The 22333-nt window shown below is 43.8% G+C and overlaps 1 protein-coding gene across 1 annotated transcript in view, besides 1 other annotated feature; it reads right to left on the bottom strand.

Moving 5' to 3' along the window:
- The window catches only part of ZNF892 (zinc finger protein 892), a 57232-nt gene that overhangs the window by 16443 nt on the left and 18456 nt on the right, over positions 1 to 22333 (bottom strand). The gene's annotated exons all lie outside the window — the stretch shown is intronic.
- Positions 5957 to 7156: an enhancer, noted in NCBI's record as "CDK7 strongly-dependent group 2 enhancer chr2:95905736-95906935 (GRCh37/hg19 assembly coordinates)". NCBI's record gives its function as "activates an origin of replication core promoter dependent on BRD2, BRD4, P300/CBP, MED14 and CDK7 cofactors, with strong dependence on CDK7, by STARR-seq in HCT116 cells {active_cell/tissue: HCT116}" and the evidence as "EXISTENCE:reporter gene assay evidence [ECO:0000049][PMID:35650434]".

Genomic DNA, 22333 nt, shown 5'->3' with positions numbered 1-22333 from the left:
GTATCATACTGTTTTGGTTACTGCAGCCTAGTAGTATAGTTTGAAGTTGGGTAGTGTGATGCTTCCAGCTTTGTGCTTTTTGCTTAGGATTGTCTTGGCTATTTGGGCTCTGTTTTGGTTCCATATGAATTTTAAAATAGTTTTTTTCTAATTCTGTAAAGAATGTTGATGGTAGTTTAATGGGAATGCCATTCAATCTATAAATTACTTTGGGCAGTATGGCCATTTTTATGATATTGATTCTTCCTATCCATGAGCATGGAATGTTTTTCCATTTGTCTGTGTCCTCTCTAATTTCTTTGAACAGTGGTTTGTAGTTCTTGAAGAGGACCTTCACTTCCCTTGTTAGCTGTATTCCTAGGTATTTCATTCTTTTTATAGCCATTATGAATAGAAGTTCATTCATGATTTGGCTCTCTGCTAGTCTGTTGTTGGTGTATATGAATGCTAGAGATATTTGCACATTGATTTTGTATCCTGAGACTTTGCTGAAGTTGCTTATCAGCTTAAGAAACTTTTGGGCCAAGATGATGGGGTTTTCTAGATATAGGATCATGTCATCTCCAAAGACAATTTGACTTCCTCTCTTCCTATTTGAATACCCTTTATTTCTTTCTCTTGCCTGATTTCCCTGGCCAGAACTTCCAATACTATGTTGAATAGAAGTGGTGAGAGAGAGCATCCTTGTTTTGTGCTGGTTTTCAAGGGGAGTGCTTCCAGCTTTTGCCCATTCAGTATGATATGGCTGTGAGTTTGTCATATATGGCTCTTATTATTTTGGGGTATGTTCCTTCAATACCTAGTTTATTGAGAATTTTTAACATGAAGTGATGTTGAATTTTATCGAAGGCCTTTTCTGCATATTGAGATAATCACGTGGTTTTTGTCTTTAGTTCTGTTTATGTGATTAATCACATTTACTGATTTGCATATGTTGAACCAACCTTGCATCCTGGAGATTAAGCCAACTTGATTGTCGTGGATAACCTTTTTGATGTGCTGCTGGATTCAGTTTGCCAGTATTTTATTGAGGATTTTTGCATCAATGATCATCAAGGAAATTGGCTTGAAATTTCTTTTTTTGTTGTATCTCTGCCAGGTTTTGGTATCAGGACAATGCTGGCCTCATAGAATGAGTTAGGGAGGAGTCCCTCCTTTTCGATTTTTTTGAATACTTTCAGTAGAAATAGTACCAGCTCTTCTTTGTACTTTTGGTGGAATTCAGCTGTGAATATGTCTGGTCCTGGGCTTTTTTTCATTGGTAGGCTACTTATTACTGCCTCAATTTCAGGACTTGTTATTGGTCTATTCAGGGATTTAATTTCTTCCTGATTCAGTCTTGAGAGGGTGTATGTGTCCAGTATTTTATTCATTTCTTCCAGATTTTCTAGTTTATGTGCATAGAACTGTTTAAAGTATTCTTGATCGTTGTTTGTATTTCTTTAAGGTCAGTGAAGATATCCCCCTTATCATTTCTGATTGTGTTTATTTGATTCTTCTCTCTTTTCTTCTTTATAGTCTAGCTAGTAGCCTATTTTATTAATTTTTTTTTTTTTTTTCAAAAAACCAGCTCCAGGCTGGGCACGGTGGCTCATGCCTGTAATCCCAGCACTTTGGGAGGCCGAGGTGGGCGGATCACGAGGTCAGGAGATCGAGACCACCCTGGCTAACATGGTGAAACCCCCCCCCCCCCGCCGTCTCTACTAAAAAATACTAAAAAATACAAAAAATTAGCCGGGTGTGGTGGTGGGCGCCTGTAGTCCCACTTGGGAGGCAGAGGCAGGAGAATGGCATGAACCCGTGAGGCGGAGCTTGCAGTGAGCCAAGATCATGCCACTGCACTCCAGCCTGGGCAACAAAGTGAGACTCTGTCTCAAAAAAAAAAAAAAAAAAAAAAATCAGCTCCAGGATTCATTGATTTTTTAAGGCTTTTTCATGTCTCTTTCTCCTTCGGTTTCCCTCTGAGCTTGGTTATTTCTTGTCTTCTGCAGTTTGTTTGCTCTTGGTTCTCTAGTTCTTTTAGCTACGATGTTAGGATGTCAATTTCAGATCTTTCTAGCTTTTTCATGTGGGCATTTAGTGTTATAAATTTCCCTCTTAACATTGCTTTAGCTGTGTCCCAGATATTCTGGTATGTTGTCTCTTTGTTCTCATTAGTTTCAAAGAACTTCTTGATTTCTGCCTTCATTTCATGATTTACCCAAGAGTCATTCAGGAGCAGGTTGTTCAGCTTCCATGTAGTTGTGTGGTTTTGAGTGAATTTCTTAATCTTGAGTTCTAATTTGATTGTGCTGTGATCTGAGAGACTGTTTGTTATTATTTCAGTCCTTTGCATTTGCTGAGGAGTGTTTTACTTCCAAATATGTGATCAATTTTAGAGTATATGCCACGTGGTAATGAGAAGAATGTATATTCTGTTGTTTTGGGGTGGAGGGTTCTGTAGATATCTATCAAGTCCACTTGATCCAGACCTGAGTTCAGGTCCTGAATATCTTTTTAAATTTTCTGTCTCAATGATCTGTCTAATATTGTCAGTGGTGTTAAGGTCTTGCACTATTATTGTGTGGGAGTCTAAGTTTCTTTGTAGGTCTCTAAGAACTTGCTTTATGAATATGGGTGTTCCTGTATTAGGAATATATATTTATAATAGCTCTTTTGGTTTAATTGAATGCGTTACCATTACGTAATGCCCTTGTCTTTTTTTTAATCTTTGTTGGTTTAAAGTCTGTTTTGTCAGCAACTAGGATTGCAACCCCTGCTTTTTTCTGTTTTCCACAGGTTTGATAAATTTTTTTTTTTTTTTTAATTGATCATTCTTGGGTGTTTCTCGCAGAGGGGGATTTGGCAGGGTCACAGGACAATAGTGGAGGGAAGGTCAGCAGATAAACAAGTGAACAAAGGTCTCTGGTTTTCCTAGGCAGAGGACCCTGCGGCCTTCCGCAGTGTTTGTGTCCCTGGGTACTTGAGATTAGGGAGTGGTGATGACTCTTAACGAGCATGCTGCCTTCAAGCATCTGTTTAACAAAGCACATCTTGCACCGCCCTTAATCCATTCAACCCTGAGTGGATACAGCACATGTTTCAGAGAGCACAGGGTTGGGGGTAAGGTCACAGATCAACAGGATCCCAAGGCAGAAGAATTTTTCTTAGTACAGAACAAAATGAAAAGTCTCCCATGTCTACCTCTTTCTACAGAGACACGGCAACCATCCGATTTCTCAATCTTTTCCCCACCTTCCCCCCTTTCTATTCCACAAAACCGCCATTGTCATCATGGCCCGTTCTCAATGAGCTGTTGGGTACACCTCCCAGACGGGGTGGTGGCCGGGCAGAGGGGCTCCTCACTTCCCAGTAGGGGCGGCCGGGCTGAGGCGCCCCTCACCTCCCGGACGGGGCGGCTGGCCGGGCGGGGTGCTGACCCCCGCACCTCCCTCCCGGACAGGGTGGCTGCCGGGCGGAGACGCTCCTCACTTCCCAGACGGGGTGGCTGCCAGGCGGAGGGGCTCCTCACTTCTCAGACGGGGCGGCTGCTGGGCTGAGGGGCTCCTCACTTCTCAGACGGGGCGGTTGCCAGGCAGAGGGTCTCCTCACTTCTCAGACGGGGCGGCCGGGCAGAGACGCTCCTCACATCCCGGACGGGGCGGCAGGGCAGAGGCGCTCCCCACATCTCAGACGATGGGCGGCCGGGCAGAGATGCTCCTCACTTCCTAGATGGGATGGCGGCCGGGAAGAGGCGCTCCTCACTTCCTAGATGGGATGGCGGCCGGGCAGAAACGCTCCTCACTTTCCAGACTGGGCAGCCAGGCAGAGGGGCTCCTCACATCCCAGACGATGGGCAGCCAGGCAGAGACGCTCCTCACTTCCCAGACGGGGTGGCGGCCGGGCAGAGGCTACAATCTCGGCACTTTGGGAGGCCAAGGCAGGCTGCTGGGAGGTGGAGGTTGTAGCGAGCCGAGATCACGCCACTGCACTCCAGCCTGGGCACCACTGAGCACTGAGTGAACGAGACTCCGTCTGCAATCCTGGCACCTCAGGAGGCCGAGGCTGGCGGATCACTCGCGGTTAGGAGCTGGAGACCAGCCTGGCCAACACATCGAAACCCCGTCTCCACCAAAAAAATACGAAAACCAGTCAGGCGTGGCGGCGCGCGCCTGCAATCGCAGACACTCGGCAGGCTGAGGCAGGAGAATCAGGCAGGGAGGTTGCAGTGAGCCGAGATGGCAGGGGTACAGTCCAGGTTCGGCTGGGCATCAGAGGGAGACCGTGGAAAGAGAGTGAGAGGGAGACCGTGGGGAGAGGGAGACCGTGGGGAGAGGGAGAGGGAGAGGGACTCCAGGTTTGGTAAATTTTCTTCCATCCCTTTATTTTGAGCCCATGTGTGTCTTTGCACATGAGATGGATCTCTTGACAGCATACTGATGGGTCTTGGCTCTTTATTCAGCTTGCTAGTCTGTGTCTTTTAATTGGAAGCATTTAGCCCATTTACATTTAAGGTTAGTATTGTTATTTGTGACTTTGATCCTGTCATCATGATGCTAGCTGGTTATATTGCAGACTTGTTTATGCAATTGCTTCATAGTGTCACTGGTCTGTGTACTTCAGTGTGTTTTTGTAGTGGCCGGTAACAGTTTTTCCTTTCCATATTTAGTGCTTCCCTCAGAAGCTCTTGCAAGGCAGGCCTGGTGGTGATGAATTCCTTCAGCATTTGTTTGTCTGAAAAGGATCTTATTTCTCCTTTGCTTATGAAGCTTAGTTTGGCTGGATATGTAATTCTGGGTTGGAAATTCTTTTCTTTAAGAATGTTGAATATTGGTCCCCAATTGCTTCTGGCCAGTAAGGTTTCTGCTGAGAGGTCGGCTGTTAGTCTAATAGGCTTCCCTTTGTAAGTGGCCTGGCCTTTCTCTCTGGCTGCTCTTAACATTTTTTCTTTCACTTTGACCTTGGAGAATCTGATGATTATATGTCTTAGAGTTGATTTTCTCATGGAGTATCTTACTGGGGTTCTCTGCATTTCCTGAATGTTGGCCTATCTTGCTAGGTTGGGGAAGTTCTCCTGGATGATATCCTGAAGTATGTTTTCCAACTTGGTTCCATTCTCTCTATCTCTTTCAGGTACCCCAATCAGTCGTAACTTCAGTCTCTTTACATAACCTCATGTTTCTCAGAGGTTTTGTTCATTCCTTTTCATTATTTTTTTCTCTATTCTTGTCTGCCTGTCTCATTTCAGAAAGATAGCCTTTGAGCTCTGAGATTCTTTCCTCTGCTTGGTCTATTCTGTTATTGATACTTGTAACTGTATTGTGAAGTCCTCATGTTGTGTTTTTAGCTCCATCAAGTCAGTTATGTTCCTCTCTAAACTGGCTATTTTGGCTGTCAGCTCCTGTATCATTTTATAATGATTTTTAGCTTCTTTGCATTGGGTTACAATATGCTCCTTTAGCTCAGCAAAGTTTGTTATTACCCACTTTCTGAAGCCTACTTCTGTCTCTTCAGCCATCTCAGCCTCAGCCCAATTCTGTGCCCTTGCTGGAGAGGTGTTGTGGTCATTTGGAGGAGACAAAGCACTCTGGCTTTTTGAGTTTTCAGCACTTTTGCATTGATTTTTTTCTCATCTTTGTGGGCTTAGCTACCTTCGATCTTTGAGGTTGCTGACCTTTGAATGGGATTTTTGTGGGGTCTTTTTTGTTGATGTTGTTTTGTTTTCTGTTTGTTTGTTTTTCTTTTAATAATCAGGCCAGTATTCTTTAGGGCTGCTGCGGTTTGCTGGGGTCCACTCCAAACCCTAGTTGCCTCAGTTTTTCTTGTGCCTGGAGATATCACCAGTGAAGGCTATGAAACAGCAAAGATGGCAGCCTGCTCTTTACTCTGGAAGCTCCATCCCAGGGGGGTGCTGACCTGTTGCCGGCCCAAACATGCTTGTTGGGGGGGTTTCACCCAGTCAGGAGAAATGGGATTAGGGATCCACTTAAAGAAGCAGTCTGGCTGCTTTTTGGTAGAGCAGGTGTGCTGCTTTGGGGGCAGTGGGGTGGGGACACTTCCAGGTCTGGACAGTTTGGACTCTCCAAAGCCAACAGGCTGGAATGGCTGAGTCGACCAAATCACAGAGATAGCTGTCCCTCCCCTTGGGAGCTCCATCCCTGGGAGAGATCAGAGCTCTGTTCGTATAACCCTGGCTGGAGTGGCTAAAGCCCCTGCAGGGAGGTCCCACCCAGTGAGGAGGAATGGATCAAGGTGCTGCTTAAAACAGTCTGGCCATGATCTGGCAAAGCAGCTATGCTGCATTGTGGGGGACACTTCCTCTTCCGCACCATTTGGACAGGCTGGAACGGCTGAGTTGACTGAACCACAGAGGTGGTTCAGCTGCCCCGCCCCTGGGAACTCTGTCCTGTCTCAGGCAGACTCCAGCCAGTTGCTGTTGGCTGGCTGGAATTCCAAACCAGTGGGTCTTATCTTAAGAGATGCCATGGAAGTGGGGCCTGCAGAATGATACTGCTTGGCTCCCTGGATTCAGCACCCTTTCTAGAGGTATGTACGAGTGGACCTCCCGCCTTGCTGGGGATCCCAGGGCTGGAGTATGTAAAACTCCTGGGTCTCTGTGTATGCCTGAGTTGCTGCTTTGCTGAGACTCCACACAGCTTTGTGTATTGGACCCTAGGCCCTGGTAGTGTGGGCTCACGAGGGGATCTCCTGATCCACAAGTTGCAAAGATCCATGGGAGAAGCATGGTTTCCCGAGTGGGGTCACACAATTACTCACCGCTTCCCTTGGCTGGGGGTGGGGGTTCCTTTGGCTCTGTGCTGCTCCTGTGTGGGCCATTGCCCCACCCTGCTTTTCTTCATTCTTCATGGGTCAAGTCATTTGCCTAGTCACTCCCAATGTGAGAACCTGGATATTTCAGTTGAAGGTGCTGTATTAACTTGCTCCTTTCATTCCTCTCCATGAGTGCTGCAAACCGCAGCTGCTTCTAACTGGACATCTTTGCTCCTCCCCAAAACCAAATTCTAAATAAAGTCTTTTTTTTTTTTCAACCTTGAACTAACTTCGGAATTTCCCAGAGAACCCCTGGAAGATCTTAAAGGATTTGTTTCTCATCTTATAAAAGTAGATCTACTAGACTACTTAAGCTTATTTGATATGTTAAATATTGCAATAAAGCAAGTGACACAAATTTTTTGTTTCCTAGTGCATATAAGTTATGTTTAAACTATCCCGTAGGTCAGACACAGTGGCTCATACCCGTAATCCCAGTACTTTGGGAGGCCGAGGTGGGTGGATCACCTGAGGTCAGGAGTTCAAGACAAGCCTGGCCAACATAGTGAAACCCTGTTTCTACTAAAAATACAAAAAAAGTAGCTGGGTGTGGTGGCAGATGCCTGTAATCCCAGCTACTAGGGAGGCTGAGGCAGGAGAATTGCTTGAACCCAGGAGGCTGAGGTTGCAGTGAGCCAAGATTGCACTATCGCACTCCAGCCTGGGTGACAGAGCTAGACGTGCTCCAGCCTGGGCGACAGAGTGAGACTCCATCTAAAAAAAAAAACAAAAAACTATCTTTTTGCTGGTGGAGGGTCTTGCCTCAATGATGATGGCTGCTGACTAATCAGGTCGGTGGTTTCTGAAGGTTGGGGTGGCTGTGACAATTTCTTAAAATAAGACAACAGTGAAGTTTGCCACATCAATTGGCTCTTTCTTTCACAAAATATCTGTGTAGCATGCTGTCTGATAGTGTTTTACTCACAGTAGAACTTCATTCAAAATTGGAGTCCCTCCTCTTAAACCCTGCTGCAGCTTTGTCAACTAAGTTTATGTAACATTCTAAATCCTTTGTTGTCATTTCAACAGTGTTCACAGCATCTTCACCAGGAGTAGTAGATTCCATCTCAAGAAGCTACTTCCTTTGCTCATCCACAAGAAGCAACTGTCTGTTCAGGCTTTACCATGAGATTGGCAACAATTCCAATTCAGTCACATCTTCAGGCTCCACTTTTTTTTTTTTTTTTTTCCTTTGAGACGGAGTTTTGCTCTTGTCACCCAGGCTGGAGTGCAGTGGTGTGATCTCGGCTCACTGCAACCTCCACCTCCTGGGTTCAAGCGATTCTCCTGCCTCAGCCTCCTGAGTAGCTGGGATTACAGGCACGCGCCACCACGCCCTGCTAATTTTTGTATTTTTAGTAGAGACGGGGTTTTACCATGTTGGCCAGGCTGGTCTCGAACTCCTGAGCTCAGGTGATCCACCCACCTCTGCCTCCCAAAGTGCTGGGATTACAGGCGTGAGCCACCGCGCCTGGCCCAGGCTCCACTTCTAATTCTAGTTCTCTTTCTCTCTCTGCCATATCATCAATTACTTCCTTCACTGAAGGCTTGAACCCTGCAAAGTCATCCATGAGAGCTGAAATCAGCTTCTTCCAAACTCCCAGTAATGTGGATATTTGATCTCCTCTCATGAATCACGAATGTTCTTGATGGCATCTAGAATGGTGACTCCTTTCCAGAGGCTTTCAATTTACTTTGTTCAGATCCATCAGAGGAATTACTGTGGCAGCTATAGCCTTACGAAATGTGTTTCTTAAATAATAGTAAGGCTTGAAAGTTGAAATCACTCCTTGATCCATGGGCTTCAGAGTGGATGTTGTATTTGCAGGCATGAAAATATTAATCTCCTTGTGCATCTCTATCAGAGCTCTGAGGTGTTTAGGTGCACTGTCAATGAGCAGTAACATTTTTCTAAGCAGTAGGTCTCAGCCCTGGGCTTAAAATACTCAGTAAACCATGCTATAAACAGATGTGCTGTCATTCAGGCTTTGTTGTTCCATTTATAGAGCACAGACAGAGTAGATTTCACACAATGCTTAAGGGCCCTAGGATTTTCAGAATGACAAATGAGCACTGGCTTCAATTTAAAGTCACCAGCTGCATTAGCCCTAACAAGAGAGTCAGGCTGTCCCATGAAGTTTTGAAGCCACACATTGACTTCTCTCTAGCTATGAAAGTCCTAGATGGCATCTTCTTCCAATAAAAAGCTGTTTTGTCTACATTGCAAATCTGTTGTTGCGTGTAGCCCCCTTCATCAATGATCTTAAATATCCTGGATAACTTGCTGCATTTTCTCTGTCAGCACTGGCTGCTTTCATCTTGCACTTAATTTATGTGATGGAGCTGGCTTCTTTCCTTAAACCTCAGGAACCAACCTCTGGTAGCTTCAAACTTTTCTTCTACAGCTTCCTTACCACTCTAAGCCTTCATAGAATTCAAGGTTTGCTCTGGATTAGGCTTCGGCTTAAAGGAATATTGCAGCTGGCTTGATCTTCTATCCAGACCACTCAAACTTTCTCCATGTCAGCAATAAGGCTGTGTTGCTTTGTTATCATTTCAATGTTCACTAGAGTAGCACATTTAATTTTCTTCAAAAACTTTTCCTTTGCATTCACAACTTCGCTAACTGTTTGGTGCAACAGGCCTAGCTTTCAGCCTGTCTCGGCTTTGGACATGCCTTCCTCACTAAGCTTGATCATTTCTAGCTTTTGATTTAAAATGAGAAACATGTGACTCTTCCTTTCTCTTGAACACTTAGAGGCCATTGTAGGGTTATTGATTGGCCTAATTTCAATACTGTTGTGTCTCAGGGAAATAGGGAGGCCCTAGGAAGGTGGGGAGGGGAGTGTCTGGTCAGAGGAACAGTCAGAACACACATTTATCAATTAAGTTCACCATCTTAATGGCGGTTCATGGTGCTCCCAAACAGCTACAATAATAGCATTAAAGATCACTGATTGGAGTTCAAGACCAGCCTGGCCAACATGGTGAAACTCTGTCTCTACTAAACGTACAAAAATTAGCCAGGCATGGTGGTGGGCACCTGTAGTCCCAGCTACTCGGGAGACTGAGGCAGGAGAATCACTTGAACCCAGGAGGTGGAGGTTGCAGTGAGCCGTGATCGCGCCACTGCACTCCAGCCTGGGTGACTGAGGGAGACTCTAGTCTCAAAATAAAAAAAAAAAAAAAAAAGCTCACTGATCATAGATGACCATAACAGATCCAACAATGGTGACAAAGTTTAAAATATTGTGAGAATTACCAAGATGTGACACAGAGACACGAAGGGAGCACATGCTGTTGGATAAATTGTGCCCATGCAGGGTGGCCACAAACCTTCCATTTGTAAGAAACACAATATCTGCAAAGTGTAATAAAGAATCAAAGTGCAATAAAAATGACATATGCCTGTATGTGAAATTCCTAGAAATTTTTCAATGCCCTTAGTGTCCATATAATCAGTCATAATTCTATGTATCTTAAGGTATTGTATTCCACAGAAATAATAAAATTTTCTTGCCAACTCTATTATAGTAAACTCTCACCATATCCTCAATCATGACTATTCTAGAAGGTTGTTATTTTTTGTTTGTTTGTTTTGTCTATCACAGACAGTTGTTATACTCTGATGCTTTCCTGAAAGCTCTTACAACCAGCTACAGACAAAAGTGTTTCATCTTCAAAGAGATTCATGGAAAGACTCTGACAAGTACTATGCAATGATACAGGCTCCTGACAATGTTCAGATCATACCACTGAATGTGGTAAAAATTTCCACAGCTCTAATGAAAAAAATGGATGGATTCAGAAAACTGCTAATCCAAGATAGAGCAGAACGAGAATTAATTACATGGAACTAAATGAACCAAAGAAGATGATTGTAGTTTTTATAACTGTTTAAAACATTGGTGATTCTTTAATGTCTTGTTTACCATATTTAAGGAAACTCTTTTCTCTTTTCTCTTAAGCTATCTATACCTTACAGCAGTCTGGTAAATTATACCTTTGTAAATAACGTTGAGACATTTCTCCTTTACTTCCTACTTGATTCCTCCAGAATTCTGGAAACTTTGAGTATTCTTATTTTTATGGCAATATAGTTGTTTGCATAGGTTCAACAAGAATCTAAAACAAGACACAATTTGAAAACATTAACTATATTGCCAAGGCTTTGACTGGAATGTCCTATTTTCAGATATGACCAGACAGATTTAAGGAACTAGAGGTGACTTCGTGGAATCAGTAAAGCCCCCTGACTAAACCAGCCTGACTCCTTGCCCACAGAGTCCCCTGCCTTCCAGGTGAATAAAGAAGGCTACTTCCTAGTGGGCCCAAGCAGTTCAGGAGATCTCTGATGAAAATGGAGGTGATTGTAGGAAGACAGTTCTGTTTCAACTAAAGCTGCAACCTCTGGGGAGGCGTTGAACAGTACTGTATTCACCACCTTTGAGCTTCTTCCTCTTTTGAACTGGCTCCTGTGGTTTTATACATTTCCAATTTTTCTCCCGCCCTTCTGATTTGGAGTCATTAAAAAGTAAAACTTCCCTTTTCCTGAAACCCTAACAAACTAAACTTGACCACTTGATATAAACTTCAGAGAAATCACCACAACAAATCCTATATGGACAAACTTCATGCCTGCTGTTGTCTGAGCCACTGAGAAAGTTTACTGGGGCCGGGCGTGGTGGCTCACGCCTGTAATCCTGGCATTTTGGGAGGCCGAGGTGGGCGGATCACAAGGTCAGGAGATCAAGACCATCCTGGCTAACATGGTAAAACCCTGTCTCTAGTAAAAATACAAAAAATTAGCCAGGCATGGTGGCTGGCGCCTGTAGTCCCAGATACTCAGGAGGCTGAGGCAGGAGAATGGCGTAAGCCCGAGAGGTGGAGGTTGCAGTGAGCCGAGATTGCGCCACTGCACCCAGCCTGGGCGACAGAGCTAGACTCTGACTCAAAAAAAAAAAAAAAAAAAGTTTACTGGAACATCCAGTGCTATAACTGAAGACATTCCAACTGCAAACCAGGAGGTGCATTAAACTACAACTGCTGTCTCCATTCTATCATCCAAGGATGCTCTGAGCTCAACTCTAGAAATCTTGACTGGATGCCTTCTGAACTCAGAGACTAGGCGTCCAATTATTAATCTTTGTGAAAGTCTGGAAAAAAACAACACTCAGTTTGCTTTTTCCTGTTCTCTCCCTCAGCAATAACCAACACAGAAGACTTCTGTGACCAAATGTGTGGGGATTTCTCCCCACATGCCAAGCAAGCAATGAGTTGTGCAGCGGACACCAGCTGGGTGACCTCCAATTCAGTTCAATTCTGATGCTGTCCACCCAGAGATAGCCCAAGAAACCACAAGGTGAGAACTCACTCCCACAAGGCCCTCCCCTCCTTCTAACCAGCCACAAGTCCAGACCTCTGGAACTTCTGACCCACCAGATTCATGTGTTTCCCTGAGTCCTGTGAGCTGCTCCAGCAAATTACGATAATAAAACCCAAAGAGGGTTAGTTTTCAGAGAAACACTTCTGTTTACCAGTTTATTACAAAGCACATTTTAAAAGGTACAAGTAAACAGCCAGATGAGGAGACATACAGGGTGAGGTCTGGAAGGGCCCCCGTGGAGTTGGAGTGCTCCACCCTCTGGGCACAGGAAAGAGTTTTGTTCACCTTCCTGTGAGCCCCCATGTGTTCAGCTATCTGGAACCTCCTACCCTGTCCTCTTGGGCCTTTTATGGAACCCTCATTGGATAGGCATGACTGAAGCCTGAACAACCATGTAGAAATGTGATTGGACAAGAAGAGCATGATCAAATGCTAACAGACCGAGTGGGAAGCCCTGCCAGGCCCGTCCGTCCAGAGTCTCCTTGGCCTCTCTGTGCGGCACTCCTTCTTCCAGGGTGAGTGAGGCAGGACCTTCTCTGAAATGAAGGTCTTAGACCCACAATCAGATTAGAGTCCTGCCTTGGGCAGGTGAAAGAGGGATAGGAAAATGTCAGAGAGAGAAATTACTTTTCCTGGGTTCTTCTTCTAATCATAATAACCACTTTGTTTTTCTTTTGTTTCCAAATAAATGCTCCTCATTGAGCGCCTGACTGCTGGCGCCATATGGAGACCTCATCCAAATGGACACCTACTCCCACCTGCACCACTGCCTCCTGGAATAAGACACACATATTTCACAAAACTAGGAGGCTGAGGCAGAATTGCTTGAACCTGGGAGGCGGAGGTTGCAGTGAGCCGAGATCGCGCCTGCACTCCAGCCTGGGCAACAAGAGCGAGACTCCGTCTCAAAAAACAAAAAAAGACACACATATTTCACAAAACTGACCTATTCTCAAAATTAAGAAATGAGCCAGGCACAGTGGTTCATGTCTGTAATCCCAGCACTTTGGGAGGCCAAGGCAGGCAGATCACTTGAGCTTAGGAGTTCCAGACTAGCCTGCCCAACATGGTGAAACACCATTTCTACAAAAAATACAAAAATTAGCCCCCAAGACATTTCAAAGGAGTTGGGGGAAGTTTCAAAGGAGGGCCAGGCGTGGTGACTCATGCCTGTAATCCCAGCACTCTGGGAGGCCGAGGCAGGGAGATTGCTTGAATTTGACAGCAGTTTGGGCAACATAGCGAGATTTTTTTTTTTTTTTTTTTTTTTTTTTTGAGATGGAGTCTCGCTCTGTCGCCCAGGTTGGAGTGCAGTGGCGCGATCTCAGCTCACTGCAAGCTCCGCCTCCCGGTTTCACGCCATTCTCCTGCCTCAGCCTCCTGAGTAGCTGGGACTACAGGCGCCCACCACCACGCCCGGCTAATTTTTTGTATTTTTAGTAGAGATGCGGTTTCACCGTGTTAGCCAGGATGGTCTCCATCTCCTGACTTCGTGATCCACCCGCCTCGGCCTCCCAAAGTGCTGGGATTACAGGCGTGAGCCACCGCGCCCGGCCGAGATGTTTTTATTTTTTTCAAAAAATAGCCAGGTCTAGTGGCACGTGCCTGTAGTCCCAGCCACCCGGGAGGCTGAGGTGGGAGGATTGCTTGAGCCCCGGAGTTCTAAACCACAGTGAGCTATAATTGCACCACTGCACTCCAACCTGGGCGACAGAGTGAGAATCTGCCTCCAAAAAAAAAAAAGAAAAGGAAAAAATAAAATGTAAGTCTGGTGTGTATGTGTAAAACTAAAGCAAAAACAAAAAAACTAATTTGGAGTCCTTAAAGAAACTCTGGACAAAGGTGTGCTTCCAGAAAATAAAACCAGAGGCTCAGGAGGTGACCTGAAGTCGTCCCTCAGGAAAGTGCCTTTCAAAACCAATCAGGCAGGAAACAGGACATCCCACATAATGAGGCAAACTAACTAGGGAGCTAAACATAATTTCAGGTGCCTTTTGCCAAGAATTCAACAGGCCATTCAGCTCGCAAACCTGTACTTAGTACCCATTATGTGTCCTCCACCACACAACGAGCAAGAGGGAATGGAGGAATATTTCTGCAACTCTATTCCCTTAAATACATACATATACATACATGTATATATAGGTATATTCAAAGCAGTCTATATTAGCATTTAAAAGACCAGGGTACAAACATGTGCTAAGTAACGATGATAAAATAGAATCCTTTTCCTGTTGCTGTTGTTGCTGCTGTCCATAGACAAAGCCTCTAAAGAGACTGACCTCCTTACAGTGTGCTTTGAAGCAGATAGGCTGTAAGTGGAAGCTCCAATGTCACCAAGTACACTAGATGTACCAAGAGAGACAAACACTGAGCTGGGGAATCCACCCAAGATTTTAAAGAGATGAAGAACAAAATACTGTAATGGAAATGTTTGCCAAAATCTCTCTCCTATCATTCTGCTCAGCCACTAGGCTAGGAGTGTCCCAGGCGCCCTGCCTGGATTGTAGCCTGGAGTGGACTGTCTGGTCAGGCCAGCTGCCTTCTCACAAGCACTGGAATGTCACAATGCCCCTTGGTATCTGTTTCTTCTCCTGAAAAATTGGGATATTCATAGTCCCTACCTGCTAGACCAGAAATGATATCATGTATGTTCAACAATTAAAACAGTGCCTGATGCATGGTAAATGCTCAATACATGTGAATAATCATCAGTGAAGCCCAGGGCCCCCCGGTAAAATCGAAAGTCGCAGAAGTACGTCTCTGTGGAGGGAAATCATTTCCATGTTTCCAAACCCCTCCACAGGGAATCATGCCGCACACAAGTCTTCCATTTCGGGGAAGCTTACATGTTGGATTTGGGAGCTCTTCCTCCACCCAGCTTTCCATGGGGCCTCAGGCACAGTCTTTTGAATACCTGCAAATGTGACACATTTGTGCCCCAGATATAATTTTTGGAAAAAGATAAAAAATGTCCAGCTAAGCCTGGTGAATGAGTATGAGTCATAGTCTGCTCAAAGACCACTGATGATGACACAATAGCACCCGCTCTCCAGCTGCTCCAGAGAGCACCAGGGTCTCCTGAGAGCTGACCTTTCTCAGGCCCCTAGCTGATATGACACTGCCACCTGGTGAGGCTGAACGGAACTACAGGGAAGTTCTTGAAGCAAACAAATCCCTAAAAAAAAGTAAAACCAAAGCTGAGCCCCTGGATGACAGCCCTGAAGCTCAGTAATAGTACAGAGAACTCCAGTTTCCCCTTTTGCCAAATGTTCCCCTGGAGTTAAATTAACTTGATCTACTCAGCCAACTTCAAGCTTTTGCTAGGCAGTTAATATTTCTGTCCTTCCTTTTTGTTTTACACTTGGAGACATAATTTATACACACACTCTCGCATATTTATATGCATTTTAGGAAAATTTTATATACATTGCATATGTAAATCTTAACTGTACAATTTTGACAAACAGATACACAGTTGTATGCACACCCCAATCAGGATAAGGAATGTCATCGCCCTAGAAAGTTTGTTCTGCCCCTTCCCAGGCAGTCCCCCTCAAAGTAGCAGTGACTCTTCTACTTTCTGTCACTATAGATCAGTGCTGACTTTTCTAGAGTTTCATATAAATGAAATAATGTAATACGTACTGTAGTGTTCTGACTTCTTTCACTCAACATGAGGTTTTGAAATGAGCTCATTTGTTTTATTGTTGAGTAGTCCATTGTGTGAATACACTGTAATTTGTTTTTCTATTATACTGCTAATGGACATTTGGGCTGTTTCCAGTTGTGAAGAGCATTGCTAGGAACATGCTTGAAGAAGTCTTTTTGTGAACATATGTGTTCATTTCTCTCGGGCAAACATCCAGGAGTCAGATTGCTGGGTCAATGGGTATCTTTATAAGAAATTATCAAACCATTTTCCAAAGTGGTAGTAGCATTTTTATCTTCCCACCAGTAGTGTGAGACCTTCCTTATATTTTTTTAGGTTGGAAGGGGTCCAATTGTACATAAGCAGCAACATAAGTGCTAAGAAGCACTCACAGACACTATCGTGTCAGCACTGGGTGAAGTGGGCATTCTCTACAACTCCCCACACTTTAAAATGGAAATGCTGGATTAAAACATCATAAATCAGCTCATGAAAACATAAGAGCAACCCCCAGAGCTTTAAAAACACATAGTCATTCCTCACTAAAAGGAACCAAGGATCCTTGGCTGATTCCAGATTTGGTGCAAGGAAAGAACAAAGTGAGCCTGAAACCTCCATCCCATCGGAAGCAGGGAGGCACCCAGAGGCGGCGACGGAGGAGCCAGCGCGGGGGTCTGCCACTTCCCGTCTCACCATCGCTGAGTGCTGGGAGACAATGTTCCCAATGCAGACAGCTACCAGAGGACTTGCATTAAGAATACAGATAAAGAACTTCCGCAAAGCAACTTAAAAACACTGAATTTTTTTAAATGGATAAAAGATTCAGTCACTTTTAAAGAGAATATAACCAATATCCAATAAATACTTGAAAAAGTGATCAACATTAGTAATACTCAGAAAAATGAAAATTTATTTTATTTATTTATATTTCAAATTTTGGAGGGAACAGGTAGTGTTTGGTTACATGGATAAGTACCTTAGTGGTAATTTCTGAGGTTCTGGTGCACCCATCACACGAGCAGTGTACACTGTACCCAATGTGTAGTCTTTTATCCCTTATCTCCTTCCCACCCTTTCCCCCTGAGTCCTCAAAATCCATTATATCATTCTTATGTCTTTGCATCCTCATCGCTTAGCTCCCACTTATAAGTGAGAACATACAATGTTTGGTTTTCCATTCCTGAGTTACTTCGCTTAGAGTAATGGTCCCCAACTCCATCCAGGTTGCTGTGAATGCCATTATTTCATTCCTTTTATTCCATGGTATATATATATATATACCACAGAAAAATGAAAATTTAAACCAGTATGAAGAGACCACTGCACATAAGCCAGATGGTTAAAATGTAACAGACTAAAAGTACAAAGTGTTGACAAACTGGAACTCATGCCTAGCTGACAGAGGTGCTGTAAACTGGTAAAGTCAAAACCATTTGACATTATCTTCTAAAGCTAAACATCTGTCTGCTCTATGACTCAGGAATTCTACTCCTAGGTATATGTACCCAAGAGAAATGCATATGCTTACTAGGAATGTTCATAGCACTTATATTCATGAGAGCCCCCAAACTGGAAACAATTCAATTATCTATCAACAGTAGAATGAATAAACAAACTGTAGTATATTCCTACAGTGGAATACCACACCATCAGTGAAAAAGAACAACTGATACATACAGAATGGTTGAATCATACAAAATGTGGGGTAAGGAAGCCAGATACAAAGGAGTATATACTACAGGATCTTATTTAAATAATGTTCAAACAGATAAAACTAGTAGAGGAGATAGAAACCAAACCAGTGATCACCCACAGGGATGGGGAGGTGAGGCATTGGGACAATGAGGTGGGGTGGCGTGGGGTGGATTAACTGGGAAGGGAAGGGCATGGAGGAGCCTTCCAGCAGAATGAAAAGGGTCTGTATGGTTAGTTGTTACCTGGGTTTATAGACATGTAAAAATTCACCAAGCATATACTGAAGATCTATACATGTTACGAATGTTAACCCTCAATTAAAACTTTAAAAGGAATCCATGGACCCATAGTGATACCGTGAACCTGGAAAATCTGAGACAGGTCTCAGTTAATTTAGAAAGTTTATTTTGCCCTGGTTGAGGACATGCCCATGACACAGCCTCAGGAAGTCTTGACGACACATGCCCAAGGTGATCGGGGCACAGCTTAGTTTTACACATTTTAGGAAGACATGAGACATCAATCAATCTATTAAGAAGTACATTGGTCCGGTCTGGAAAGGCGGGACAACTGGAAAAAAAGGCAGGAAGACTGCAAGTGGGGAGGGAGGTTCCAGGTCACAGACAGATGATACACAAATGGTTGCATTCTTTTGAGTTTCTGATTAGCCTTTCCAAAGAGGCAAATCAGATATGAATCTATCTCAGTGAGCAGAGGGGTAACTTTGAATAGAATGGGAGGCAGGTTTACTCTAAGCAGTTTCCAACTTGAGTTTTCCTTAATGATTTTGGGGGCCCAAGATATTTTCCTTTCACAATATATTAAAAAAAGAAAACCACCAGGTGGAAAGTGGAGATAGAAAGCTCCTCTTTTCATGAGAATGCCTGCACTAAATGTGGGAGGAATAACAGAATTATAAAAACACCATTTTGTAGGCACTAATGTAATAATTGATTCAGGCAAGTATCATCAATGGAAAGCAAAAACACTAGGTGAAAAGTTGTTAGGAGCCAAGATATTCATAGATTATTTTATTAAGTACAAAGGGAAAAGTTATTAATTACAACTAGAGAATTTGGACAACATGTGAACAAAGTAATCAAATTTAGCATTAGGAACAGGACAAATTGGCATCTTGAGTCTCTTGATGTGATGCAAAAAAAATTTTTTTAAAAACAGGGTCTCACTCTGTTCCCAGGCTGGAGGGCAGTGGCATGATCCTAGCTCACTATAACCTTGAACTCCCAGGCTCAAGCAATCCTCTTGCCTCAGCCTCCTGAATAGCTGAAATTACAGAGGACAGCCACCAAGCCCAGCCCTCCTGTCATTTAATGAAAATCACACATGTGTAGATTTCTTGTCAAAATTGCTTAATCTGGATCTAATCATGAGGAAATAGACAGAAAACGCAGATGGTAGAACATTCTACAAAACAACTGGTCTGGACTTCTCAGAATATTAATGTCATGAAAGACAAAACGAGGTGGAAAGACCATTCCAGACTGAAGGAAACTAAAGAGGCAGGACAAATAAATGCAGTGTGTCCCAACTGATTGGAAATTGGACAGGGAGCTGTACATGACATTTGGGGATAACTGTGGATAAATTTAAACTAACTGTGTGTTAGACAGTAATCTTGCATCAGAGTTAGATTGTTTGGGTTGAATAACAGCATTGCGATTATGTTGGAGAATGTACTTGCTCATAGAAGACACATGCTATAATCCCAGCACTTTGGCAGGATGGCTTGAGCCTAGGAGTTTGAGACCAGCCTGTGTACCATAGCGAGACCCTATCTCTACAAAGAAAAAAAAAAATCACTTGGATGTGGTGGTGTGTGCCTGTAATCCCAGATACTCGGGAAGCTGAGGCAGGAGAATTGCTTGAGCCCAGGAGTTCAAGGTTACACTGAGCTATGACCATGCTGCTGCACTTCAGCCTGGGCAACAGAGCAGAGACCCTGTCTCTGAAAATGAAATATCTGGGCGCAGTGGCTCAGGCCTGTAATCCCAGCACTTTGGGAGGCTGAAGCAGGTGATCACTTGAGCCCAGAGTTTGAGACCAGCCTGGGCAACATGGCAAAACCCTGTCTCTACAAAAAAAAAAAAAATTAGCTGGGCATGGTGGTGTGCACTTATAGTCCCAGCTACCTGGGAGGCTGAGGTGGGAGAATCACCTGAGCCCAGAAGGTTGAGGCTGCAGTGAGCCATGATTGCGCCACTGCATTCCAGCCTGGGAGACAGAGTGAAACTCTGCCTCAAAAAATAAAATAAAATAAAAAAATACACATGCTGATACATATTCTTGTAAGATACAGGACATGAGTAGTAAAATGTCATGATGTCGGCAATCCTGTCGCAAATAGTTCAGCAAAAGGAAAACATGCATAGACAAAGATAAAGCAGATGTGCTAGAAAGAAAAAAACAAGGAGAAGGAAAGAAGGAAGGAAGGGAGGGAGGAAGGAAGGAAGGAAGGGAGGGAGGGAGGGAGGGGAGGGGAGGGAGGAGAGAGGAGCCTCAGGTCCCTCCTTTCTAGGGCCATATCAATAAATTGTGGTAGCGATTATTTCATTGTCTTGAAAAATAATTCATTTAATAAAATACTTCATTTATAAGGACAAAAGAAACCAGAAATTTCCTGCCTTGCATGCTACTCTTAACTCCCTGGGACTTTGGGACTCAAGAGCCACTTAAGCCAGGAGACCAGAACCTGGGCATGAACAGGGCAGTGATTTGGATCCAGGACACCACAGTGGATTGAGACCCTTAGTGAAACAGGTGGTAGAAAATGCATCTAACCACTAAAAATGGGGGCCCACAGGGACACGTGGGCCTAAGCAACCCCACACTTGGTGATGAGAGTTGGGAATGGGGTGTTCTTCCCTTAGTGAGTCAATAACCACAGACCTGTCCCAAGGAGAGTTTGGCATTTGAGGTAATGTTTCCTGCTTAGTCCAGGAAATCTCAATTCAAGAAATAAATTTATTTAATTCTTCTTCAGAGAAACACCCCACAACACAGGCCTTCCAGAATCCCTACATACTAAGGCCAGTAAAACGTAAGCTCACAATTCATGATTATAAAACCATAAGAAGCTAAGTCGAACCAAAGTAGGACACTGTCTTTAAAGAGATGAGAGAAAAATAACAGCAGCCTAGAACTTAACATCCAGTGAAAATACATTTCAGGAACTGAGGCAAAAATGTCAAACAGAAACAGAAATGTCATCAGTCAACAGAAACTGACAATTTATCAGCTACCGATCCTCACCAGACTAACTTCTATTCAACATAGTACTAGAGGTCCTAGTAAGAGTAATTAAGCAATAAATTGGAAAGGAAGAAATAAAATTATCTGCAGATGACCTGATCTTAAATGTAGCCCTAGATTTCCAAGGATGTCATGAACAGCCTGGGGCAGAGGCTTGTTACAGGGGTGGAGCCACTGTAAAGAGACCCCACTAAGGCAATGCCCAGTGGAACTGTGGGATCAGAGCCACTGCATAAAGTCCCCCACTAGGCCTAGAAGAGCTGTGGGGGCAGGGCCATTCCCATGACCCCAGAACTGTAGAGCTACCAGTGTGCAACACCAGCCTGGGAGAGCTGCAGGAACAAGATTTCAACCCATGAGAGCTTCTGTGTGAACTGAGCCCAGGAAAGCCACAGAGTGGACTTGCTTAGGATCTCCTCTCTTTTTTTCTGTGTCTCCTTTTTGCATTGCAAATGTCTATCCTATGACTGTCTCACCATTGTATTTCAGAAGCACATAACTTGTTTAATTTCACAGGCTCAGAGCTGGAAATTTGCCTTAGGATGAATAGTGATTTGAGTCTCACCCATATCTGATTTTAGATGAGACTCTGGGCTTTGGAATCTGAAGTTGATTATGAAATCAGTTAAGACTTTTGGGGATATTGGGATGGAATGAATGTATTTTGTATGTGAAAAGGACTAAAGTTTTGGGGAGCTGGGGTGGAATGCTATGGTTTGAATGTTTACCCCCTCCAAAACTCATGTTGAAATTTAATTGCCGGTGTTAAGAGTTTAAAGAGGCAGGACCTTTTAAGAGGTGATTAAGCCATGAGGGCTTCACCCTTGTGGGTGCAACTGGTGCCATTACAAAAGCGTGAGTTCAGTCTCCTCTTGCTGTCTCTCTTACCCTTCCATGTTCCATCATGGGATGATGCTGCAAGGAGGGCCTCATCAGATGCTAGCCCCTTGATCTCGAACTTCCCTGCCTCCAGAACTGTGAGGCAATAAATTTTCCACCCTTATAAACTACCATCTGTGGTATTCTGCTATGGCAGCACAAAACAAACTAAGACAATGGTTAAGAGGGTAAATTTTATGTTATGTGTTTTTTACCACATAAAAAAAGTACTATCACATTTGAGATTTTTTTAAAAAAGGAAAGAATGTTTTTAAAATAAATGAAGCACTAATATATTCTATAACATAAACCTTATGAAAACATTATGGTAAGTGAAAGAAGCCAATCACAAAGACCATGTCTTAGCCCCTTTTGTGCTGCTATGACAGAATGCTATAATGGGTAATTTATAGCGAATAGAAATTTATTTCCTCACCGTTCTGGAGCCTAGGAAGTCCAAAATCAAGGAGCTAGTATCTGTTGAGGGCCTTCTTGCTGCATCATTCCATGGCCAAAGGGCAAAGAGAGGGCAATAGAGGAGCAAGAGGGAGCCAAACTTGTTCTTTTGTAAGGAACCCACTCCTGTGATAACAGACCCACTCTCACGAGAATAGTATTAATCCATTCATGAGGGTGGTGGC

The sequence above is a fragment of the Homo sapiens genome, chromosome 2 (genome assembly GCF_000001405.40).
Source record: "Homo sapiens chromosome 2, GRCh38.p14 Primary Assembly".
NCBI lineage: Eukaryota > Metazoa > Chordata > Mammalia > Primates > Hominidae > Homo > Homo sapiens.
Note: the sequence above shows the minus strand (reverse complement) of the source record. Positions and strands in the feature narration are given on the sequence as shown.